We start from the raw sequence: 11,310 nt of genomic DNA on the forward strand, positions 1-11,310 counted from the left end.
AACAGCAAGGGGGAAATCCACCCCCATGATCCAATCACCTCCCACCAGGTCCCTCCCCTAACACTGAGGATTATAATTCAACATGAGATTTGGGTGGGGGCACAGAGCCAAACCATATAATTCCACCCCTGGCCCCTCCAAAGTCTCATGTCTTTCTCACATTTCAAAACCAATCATGCCTTCCTAACAGTCCCCCAAAGTCTTAACTCATTCCAGCATTAACTTAAATTTCAAGTCCAAAGTCTCATCTGAGACACGTCAAGTCCCTCTGCCTATGAGCCTGTAAAATAAAAAACAAGCTAGCTACTTCCATGATACAATGGGGGTACAGGCATTGGGCAAATGCTCCCATTCCAAAAGGGAGAAATTGACCAAAACAAAGGGGCTATAGGCCCCATACAAGTCCAAAACCCAGCGTGGCAGTCATTAAATCTTAAAGCTCCAAAATAATCTCCTTTGACTCCATGTCTCACATCCAAACAACACTGATGCAAGGGGTGCACTCCCAAGGCTTTGGAATATTTCAATCAATCAATCAGTCAATAGACTCCCTCCTATACCATATTGATGTACTGTTAATGGCAACAGATGATTTCTGCCACAGGGGTGACAACATCAACCAGACTAGACAAAGAGATTGGCACTAGGAATTCCACAAGAGGTGACCATTTATAAGAACCTGGAATGGACCTCCATCCCTGTGATTCTGCAGGGCAAAGCCCCCACAGCTGCTTTCACAGGATGGCATTGAGTGCCTGCAGCTTTTCCAGGTGCATGGTGCAGGCTGTCAGTGGATCTACCATTCTGGGGTCTGGAGGATGATGGCCCCCTTCTCACAGCTCCAGTAGGCAGTGCCCCTGTGGGGAGTCTGTGTGGGGGCTCCAAACCCACAATTCCCCTCTGCACTGCCCTAGGAGAGGGTCTCCATGAGGGCTCTGCTTTTGCAGCAGACTTCTTCCTGGACATCCAGATATTTCCATACATCCTCTGAAATCTAGGCAAAGGTTCCTAAGCCTCAACTCCTGCCTTCTTTGCACCCATAGTCTCAACACCACATGGAAGCCACCAAGGCTTGGGGCTTGCACCCTCTGAAGCAATGGCCAAGTTGTACCTCAGTCCCTTTTAGCCACAGCTGGAACTGGAGCAGCGAGGATGCAGGGCACCACGTCCAGAGGCTGCACAGAGCAGCAGGGCCCTGGGCCTGGCCCACTAAATTATGTTTCCCTCCTAGGCTTCCAGGCCTGTGATGGGAGGGGCTGCCTCAAAGGTTTCTGTAATGCCCTGGAGGCATCTTCCCCATAGTCTTGGCTATTAACATTTGCCTCCTCTTTACCTATGCAAATTTCTGCAACTTTGAATTCTTCCCCAGAAAATGGGTTTTTCTTTTCTACCACATGGTTAGGCTGCAAATTTCCCAAACTTTTATGCTGTGCTTCCCTTTTAAATATAAGTTCCAATTTCAGACCATCTCTTTGTGAACACATATGAGTATATGCTGTTAGAAGCAGCCAGGTTATGTCTTGGATGCTTTGCTGCTTAGAGATTTCTTCCACTAGATACACTAAATCATCTCTCTCAAGTTTAAAGTTCAACAGATCTCTAGAGCAGGGGCACAATGCCACCAGTCTCTTTGCTAAAGCATAGTGAGAGTGACCTTTACTCTAGTTCCCAATAAGTTCCTCATCTCCATCTGAGACCTCATCAGCCCGGCCATCTCTGTCCACATCACTATCAGTATTTTGGTCAAAACCATTCAACAATTCTCTAGGAAGTTCCAAACCTTCCCTCATTTTCCTGCCTTCTTCTGAGCCCTCCAAGCTGTTCCAACCTCTTGCCCATTACCCAGTTCCAAAGTAACTTCCACATTTTTAGATATCTTTATGGCAATGCCCCACTTCTTTGGTACCAATTTTTTGTATTAGTTCATTCTAACACCGCTATAAAGAACTACCTGATACTGGGTAATGTATAAAGAAAAGAGGTTTAATTGACTCACAGTTCCATAGGCTGTAAAGAAAGCATGGTTGAGAAGGCCTCAGGAAGATTACAATCTTGGTGGAAGGTAAAGGGGAGGCAAGCATATCTTCACAGGGTGGCAGGAGAGAGAGAGGAGGGAAGTGCTACATGCTTTTAAACAACCAGATGTTATGAGAACTCACTCACTATCACGAGGACAGTGTGTTAGTCTGTTCTCACGCTGCTAATAAAGACATACCTGAGACTGGGTAGTTTATTTAAAAAAAAAGAGGTTTGATGGATTCACAGTTCCACGTGGCTGGGAGGCCTCACAATCATGGCGGAAGGCAAAGGAGAAGCAAAGTCACATCTTACATGGCGGCAGGCAAGAGAGCATGTGCAGGGGAACTCCCTTTTATAAAACCGTCAGATCTCGTGAGACCTATTCATCATCATGAGAACAGCGTAGGAAAGACCTGCCCCCGTGATTCAATTACCTTCCACCAGTCCCTCCTCCAACAGTGAGAATTACAATTCAACATGAGATTTGGGCAGGAACACAGATCCAAACCATTTCAGTGGCCTTGGCCAACCCACCATGCTGAGACACTTCAAACCCAGACCTGTTCTCCTGGGACCAAACAGGCCTTTGGCAATCCCAGCACTTCCAAGACATCCTGTTGCTCCAGGTATTGACCAGTGCCACCCAGAAAGATATCCTCATCAGCACTGTAGCTCATGCTACCTCCTCACCTCCTACGTGACACAGACCATCTCTGTCCTGGTCATTTTAATTCGCCCTTTCCCCAGGGCCTTATGGGGCCAAGTCTCTCCATAACTTGATCAGCAGAGGGGAAATTGGATCAGGGTGTGCAGATCGTTGCCTGCTTCTTACTTTGTGAATGTCAGAAGCCCCCAGGCACAGAGACCTGCTTGTTTCCAAAGTCTCATCTTTGAAAAGCAGATGGCAAGGCTTAGGCTTGATTGAATTTGTGTTTATGTATGTGATGCATTTGATTGTAGCTGGAGGGAGGCTGCCTGGTCCAATAGCTAATTTGGCCCATCAACAGGGTTTAAACCTACTTACCTGTTAGAAACTATTTGTTCCATGGAGGCAGTTGTGCCTTTGGCTGGTGGCATAACAGCCAGCGTCTGAGCATCCCCCTTGACCAAAGCCTTTTGAACCTGTGGGTTGATTTCAATTAGGGAGCCCAAAGTCCTTGGCTCCACAGCCCGGGCTCTGAGGACTGATGCTATAGAGCCGTGGGTACAAGTGTATGAGGGCCGGCAGACAAAGGCAAGAGTTGCACCGCTGTCACTCATAGTTTAAGAAACAAACGACCCACATATTTATCAACAGGGAGTTGGCTAAATCAATCAGAGACCATGCCTGCAGTGGGATACTTGAGAGCTGTCAAAGGCGGAGGCAGCACTGAGCGTGTATACTCAACATATATCCAACATGCACGTGGAAAACACCAGTGGCAGGACAGTGTGTACAGCAGGCCATTTAACAAACAGTGATGGCTCCTCAAAAATTAAAAGTAGAATTATCACAGGATGCATCAATGCCATTTCTGGGTACACACTCAAAGGAATTCACAACAAGGATTCAAAGAGGTATTTGCACACCCAGCAGCATGATTCACAACAGCTAAAAGATGAAGCAACCCAACTGTCCATCTACTGATGATGGATACATCTAGTGTGATCATTCATACAATAGACTCTTCTCCAGCCTTAAAAGGCAAGGAAGCTCTGACACATGTTACAACCTGGATTCACCTTGAGGATAGTATGCTCAGTGAAATAGACCAGACACAAAGGATAAATCCTGTATGGCTCTATGTCTATGTGGTCTTAGAGTCATCAAAATCATGGAGACAGAAAGTAGAATGGTAGGTGCCCAGGGCTGGGGGAGGGGGAATAGGGAGCTGTTGTTTCATGGGCACAGAACTTCAGTTTTGCAAGATGAAGCGTTCTGAAGACAGATGGTGGTGATGGTTGCACGGTAATAGGAATATGCACTGAAAGCCATTGAACTGCACGCTTACAGTGGTTAAGGCGGGACATTTTACATGATGTGACAAATCAATAATAAACAATTTTAAAAATTTCAGAGAATGAAAAGCTGTTCTGACAGACGACATATTGAGCTGTTAATGGTAGTCGTATTTGAGGGAGTGATTCTGCGCCGTGTTTTTCAGGCTTGTCTGGATGTTTATAATGATAGAGCTCGCCACCGTGGAGGGAGCCCTCACTAAGCACAGATGGTCCAGCCTCTGCCTGCACTGACTCGGGGAGCCCCCAGCCTGAGGAAATGCGAGTGTAATTCTGTCACTGTCCCCATAAGCTGAGGAAACAAGGTACAGAGGTTGAGGAACATGCACCTGCCTCTTTCTGCCTTTGTCTTGATTACTTCTCTGGGATAAGGACCATGTCCCTCCCAGTGAAACTCACCTAAATGTCAAGGGACAGCACTCCTGAGCCTCAGCCTCCACATTGCTTGCCCCCGGGTAGGACCACAGATGCCCCCTCGGCCCTGGGCGCTGAGGCCAGTGGAAGCCCTGCTGAGCCTGCGAGGCTCTGCCCTTCAGCATCTCTGGGATCAGGTTTCCAAGAACACCTGGCCCTGAAATGGGCATGGGGGGTGGGATGAGGGCTGACTGACCACTCAGACCTTGGGGCCCAAGTCCCCTGTTCTCAGCCAAGGCCCAGGGAGTCAGGGCAGGTCCGGGGGTCCTGGGCTGGGTGGCGCCGGTCTCAGCCACATAGGTCTGTGTCCAGTGGGGTGTGGCAGCCGCGAGCTCCAGGGGTTGGTGGTGAAGTGGCCCATAAGCCCTGAGCGGGGGTCTGAGGGCTGGTCGCTGGCATTGTAGCCTTTGCCAGGCAGCTCACTCGAACCCTGCCCGCCCACTCTGAGGCTGCCATAGCCCCCATCTTGAGAGTCAGCAGAGCCTGCATGGAACCGCCCGGGAGGCCCAGGCCAGCCTTCCTCTCCAGACTCCATGGACGCCAGACGCCACGCTCTTCCAGGCCTACCACTCTGCAGCCACCACCCATGACCACGGAGCCCTGGCCAGTGCCACTTGTCTCTAGGCCTCGGCATCCTAAGTTGTGAAATGGTGACAGTCAGGGCCTCCATGTGACTTGGAAGGGTTGGGTGCCCTCACTCACGAGAACGCCCAGTGCCTGCATGCTCGCCTAGGGAAGAGGCAGGTGGGCTGCAGACACGGCTCCTACGAGCCTGTGGACTCAGAGGGCATCTCAGGACTCGGGAGCCCAGACCACAACCTGGTGACAGCTGTCCCACACAGGGCTCCCACTGCACATGGCATGGTGCAAAGGGCATTGACCCTCAATTCTCACCACAACCCCCATCTCCTGGGCCTGCCCAAGGCAACTGGTACCCCACAACTTCCTGCATCTCTGCCCCCCCCTCCCACCCTGGGGTGGGCTTGGCTGTGTGAGTGGACTTGGCCCACCAGCCGGCAGCCCCCATGCTGGGCTCTGATACCCCAGGAGCGTCCTTCTGCCAGTGAGGGATGGGTGTGGGAAGGTGAGGGCCCCGGCTTCTTCACCCTTGATGTGACAGTTTTGGGGTGCATTCCACAGTCTCTCCAGGGTCCCCTTGGAACTGAGTCCCTACTGCCCATGGAGGAAACTGATTATGAAAGTACGGTTCGTGAGTGTTCCCACTCCCCTGCCCACCCGTCTCCGCACACTCTGAGCTCTCCTTCCACACAGCCTGCTCACATCCAGACCCTTGCCTCAGCGTCTGCTTTTGGGAGAACCAAAACCATAACAGGACAAAAAGAAGGGAACACAGTCTCCGACTGCACTTGGGGGTCCCACCAGAGTGTGACGGTGCCAGCAGACACTAGGAGAGGAGGGCGCTTGTATTTCCTGTGGCCACTGTAACAAATGACCAAAAACTCTGAGGCTTAAAACAACACGATTTTTTTTTTTTACAGTTCTGGAGGTCAGAAGCTCTAAAATCAAGGTGTCTGCAGAGCTGGCTCCTTTTGGGGGCTCTGGGAGGGGAATCTGTTCCCACCTTTTCCAGCTACCAGAGGCCTCCACATCCCTTGGCTCATGGCCCCTGCTCCGTCTTGGAAGCAGCCTCCTCTCCTTGGACCCCATCAATGCATCTCCTTCTCTCTCTCGTAGGACCTTTGTGATGACATGGGGTCCACCCAGCCAATCCAAGACCACCTCCCACCTCCGGGTCCTTAATCTAATCACACTGAATGTCCCTTCCCCAGGTAGCCTACCCGACTTGCAGGGATCTGGACGTGGCCATTGGGGGACATCCCTCTGTCTGTCACACCACACGCCAGAAGCTCAGAGAGATTCCAGGGAGGGAGGCGGATTCTCATGTTCTCCGAGACCCTCCTGGGCCAGAGCCCTGCCTGTTGGACCCTGTGATGTCAGTGGGTGCAGCAGCCCCCGAGATGGATGCGGGTGAGGGCAGCCCGGGGCTGTCTCGCTAGCCCTCACTGCATCGGCCCCATTCTGGGTCAATGGTAGGTCAACCTGGTGGATCTCTGAGGTGACCAAGCTTACTGACAGATGAACTACAGCCTCAGGAAGAGGGTCATGGCTGGCAGGAGCCAGCGGGGGGCAAGACCAGCAGCCCTGAGTGCTGGTGCAGGCCACGCAGGGCCCAGCCTCTGTAGCCAGAAGTCAGCGCCAGTGCCGGTCCTGAGCAAGATGGCCATTTCACAGATGAGGAAAGAAGGCTCAGGGCTGTGGGGACTGTCCGGGTGGGTCACATGGCCGGCAGGTTTCAGGGCCTCTCTTTCCATCTGGTGCCCACAGTTACGCTGTGGCTTGGGTGTGGTCTGGAGCTACTGCCTCAGGACCCACCACCATCCTGGCAGTGTGGTCCCTTCAGAAAAGCTGAAAATGCAAAAATCAGGCACATGCACCTCCCCCCATGAGCTGCTCAAGAGAGAGGAGCAGTCACGCATCCTTATGGAGAAAAGGAGAAGCAGGACCCAGAAAGGGTTTCCCTGTAAGATTCCTCAGGGCCCAGCAGGCCTCAGCCCCAAGATTGAGGCCAAATTATTGGAGGGGTGTGTGTGTGTGTGTGTGTGTGTAAAACTGAGTATGTGAGCATGAGCCCAGAGCTGGGGGTGCAGGCCACGCAGGTGTGAGAGTCCACCTCCCCATCTCGCTGACCCCTGTGTATGGAGGAGAGATGGAGGCGGGGGAGGCTGTGTCCTGCCCAGGCCAGCCGCCTGCCAGTGACAGTGGAGGACTTGCTCACAGTGGGGCTGCTTGGGGTCACACAGGAGTGGCCTGGCAGGCCTGGCAGCCCCAGCCCTGGAGCCAGCCACAGACTCCTGGGTTCTGCTTCCCTGGGAGCTTCCAGGGGAGTGTCACTGGGGCTCACGATACCGACCCCTTCTGGGATCAGTGGCCCCTTGCTTTTGGCACAGAGCTTCAGGGCCAGAGGGTGCCTCTAATCCAGTAGCTGAGGAAAGCTTTCAGTGGTGCTCTGGGCACCTCTGTGACCTGCCCTGGGCCCAGTCCTCATGCTGATCCCACTGTAGCCACCCTACTCAGTGCCCCAGGCCCTGGACACCTCAGGCCATGGGATATCCCAAGCATTCAAACTCTCACGGCCACCTACGCTTATGAGCAGAGGCAGAGGCATGGTGCCACCGCTGCCTCCTCAGGCAGGATATGCTTTTTGTTTGTTTGTTTTGAGACAGGGTTGTTCGCTGTCATTCAGGCTGGAGTGCAGTGGTGTAGTCAGGGCTCATTGCAGCCTCAAACTCCTGGGCTCAAGCGATCCTCCCGCCTCAGCCTCCCGAGTAGCTGGGACTACAGTCTTGTGCCACTATGCCTGGCTAATTTGTTTTTATTTTTATTTTGGTAGAGACTGGGTCATGCTATGTTCCCCAGGCTGGTCTCGAACTCCTGGGTTCAAGCAATCCTCCCGTCTTTGCCTCCTAAAGTCCTGGGATTATAGAGGTATGAGTCACTGTGCCCAGCCCAGAATGTGCCTCTTAACTTTCATACCGCAGCCCCTATGCTCAGGACGAGGAGGGACATAGGCCAGCTGCCCCAAGTTCCCCAAGGGGACTGTGCCACCCTGGAGTGGGCTCTGTGATGGACAGAGTCACCGTCTCCCAGCAGCTCCCAATCCATCCCATCACAAGTCAGGTCTAGGCACTGCCATCAGACTGATAGTTGAATTTTTCCTGCCAAGAGGAGGTCCCTAAGAGCCTGAGCCACAGGCGAGGGACAGTGCTGTCCTGTGGCCAGGCCCCGTTGTCACTGGGGAGTGGCCTGGCCTGTTCACTCACCCAGCTCCAGTCTGCACCACCGTCGCTCCACTTGGGGTTGTCACTGCCTGAGGTTAGGACGTCAGCAGAAGCCAGCCTCATGTGGCAGAGGCGATGGGGAATTACAGCCTGCAAAGGCTGATGGCATCAGAGAGATTCAGGAAAGCAAAGGGCTTATTAAAAAGCTGAAATTGGTTCTAAACAAGGTCAGCCGTCGATGCGCCTTGGAGGGAAGCCAGGCGCTGAGCAGCAGGAATGGGGCTTATTTCCTGACACCGTGGCCGTGACACCCTGCACCTCCCCGGCCTACCCCACCCCCAACCCCACTCCCACCCCCATTCCCATCCCCACCCCCACCGCCACCTCTGGAGGGCAACGTGCACCCAGACACTGGAGCAGAGGCAGCAGGGGTGGGAGCAGGGAGGAAAGCCCCCCGCGGGGCACCACAGGGAGGCATGTGGCCAAGAGAGCACCTGGCAAGCAGGTGTCACCTCTGAGGAGGGTGAGGGCAGGAGGAGAGCTGACTGTTGCTTCCTTACCCTGGGGTCGGATTGCTCCCTTTTAAAATCCATTAATGCAAGGAAGGGCGCAGCCACGGGGCCATCCGATTGGATTCGCTCCCTCCCGCCCGGCCCCAGTCTCCGCAGATTTTCTCTGCGGTTGCATTTTTCATTTGAGCGTCCCTTCCTCTTGACTCCAGTGGAATTTTTCTGACCTTGGCTGACAAGGTGTGCAGCCCCCTCCAGCTCAGGGCACCCTCTTTGGGGTGCTTGCCCCAGGCACTGGCCCACCCTGTGAGCTCAGGCGCATTGTCTCGCCTCTCCGAGGCTGACTCTCCTGTGTCTGAGACAGGGATGATCGCACACCCAGCCACCCAAGGCTGGCCAGGATGGAGGCAGGGCAGGGGAAGCCCTGGTGCGGCCTGACTTGTGTCTCCTGTCCCTCCCTAGGACTTAGTTATCAGTATTTTGGAATCAGCTGAATCATTTCTGTCAAATGCTAGAGGAAAGCCAGTTTTGAGTTGGATAAAGAAAATGTCTTTGATTCCTGTTAAAAATAAACATGTGTGCATAACACTGCTGAGCACGAGACCGCACCTGCCGTCCCTCCTTAGAGCTCCCAGCAGCTGTTGGTCTTTGGCGTATCCGGGAGAGGAGCGAGGCCTGGAGGTGTGTTGAGCCGTCCAAGGGCTGGTAGCATCAGGGGCTCTTCACTGCCTCTCGCTCCACAGAACCGCTGGGTTGAAGGAAGCTGGAGGGATCAATTGTCCTTGTCATCCAACTTCCTGTGTCTGTAGATGGGGAGGAGGCGCTGGGTTGGAAAGCGCTTCTCTGAGGACGCCAGCTGCGCATTCAGGAGGGCGGAGCAGGATATGACCCCAGAGCTCTGACCCCGGAGGAGCAGGAGGGGTGCCTGGGGCCTCAATACCCCAGAGGGGAGAGAGGTGCCCCCCTTCCCACAACGCGGGCCCCAGCTGGTGCTCGTTTAGCCTGTTGTCTAGCTGGAGCCACCTGGGTGGCCACCAGGCTGCTGGGAGGGCTCACCCCTGAGCTGGGTGTGCTGTGGAGCCCGTGACCCTCACCTCTGCCTCTGCTGGCTTTTGTTATCCCGTGCTGGGAACACCAGTGCCTGCCCACCCCGGAGGCTCTTCGTATCACCGGCTCGCTGTGGCCGCTCCCCAGTCCCGAGAGTGAATGTCCGGGATGCAGCAGACACCTGCTTACAAGGCACAGGTGAGGAGGTTTTGGAACTAATCTGAGGCATGAAGGTGAGGTGCTCTCAGGCGACGGAGGTGGCATGTCCTGATGGGAAAGCCAGGCCTTCGGAGGCTGAGACCCTTCCCAAGGCTCACCAGAGAACTCCCAAGAGTGTCTTTCCCCTGGCCTGGGAGACAATTTCACACCAATGCCACACTCTATTGCACAGGTGATTATGCACTTGGACCTCACCTGCCTGGGCTGTGGGTGGGGGCGAACGGTGCCCCTCTGGGTGCAATCAGTGGGGAGGGGCTCATGGCCTGAGCTTGGCTTTGCAGGATGGCCTGGCCACTGTGGGGCAGAGAGCACTGCCTGCGAGGGCCAGGGGAAGGCTGGCACTTTCTCCAAATTTCACGTTCGTGCAAAGACACAGTCATTCCTTTCTACAGCGTAGAGCTCAGAGCTGAAGCAGCCTCCAGACCTGCTGTCATGGGTATTTAAGGACCTAAATGTTGCTGTCAGCCTATGACATGAATGTGCCCCTAAGGCTAGATTCTGGGTTTCTCCAGAGAGACGAGAAACAGGAGGGAAAAGGAAGGAAGGGAGGGAGGAGGCTGGGGAGGAGGGACAGCTTCTAGTCCAGCTGGAGAGATCTGTCAACCCAGCCTGGGGGGTGGAGCTGGAGGGATCAAGCAGAATGTCCTGAAGGCAGCTGCCCTCAGTCTACTTGTGGGAGAGGACAGGAGGGAGAGGTGCCGTGGTGAGACTGACCCTCGGGCCCACGGGTGGATGATGGCAAAGGTCCTGTGGCAGGTGTGGGAGAAGCAGGGCTGCGGCCAGCTGCCCTGAGAGGCTTCAAATTCAGGCCAGATCTGCTCTGGGCAAGAGGAAGCTGTGGGTTTGGGAGCTTCAGAGACAGGGGAGCAGGCCTGTCACTCACCCTCTTTTCCTTAAAGGCTGTCACCCCCAGCAGTGCACCCTGCAGCCTGCCTATCCCCTGTGCAGCTCCAGCTCCGTCTGTCCCCAGCAATGCACCCCACGCCCATGTCCCCCACTCCCTATGATGCTCTCGCGCCTTCTGGAGCAGCAGTGGTACCAGCTGGAGGCTGTGGAAAAATTGAGAGGAGACAAAAGTGGGAAGAGCAGGCCGTGGAGAGAGTGTCTAAACACAGGGACTATTTGGAGATTGTCTTATTTTTGGTTTGAAATGGGCCCACCTGCTAGTATTGTACAAACGGCTCTGCTCGCTAGGCCAGGCCTGCAGTGGCTACGGGCCTATCCTTCACTGGTCAGCCTGGAGCAGCTCCTCGGACCTCAGTCTGCTCATCCGTGGGTAGAGGCGACGCAGACCCCATCCCACT

This window comes from Homo sapiens, chromosome 9, assembly GCF_000001405.40.
Source record: "Homo sapiens chromosome 9, GRCh38.p14 Primary Assembly".
Lineage (NCBI taxonomy): Eukaryota > Metazoa > Chordata > Mammalia > Primates > Hominidae > Homo > Homo sapiens.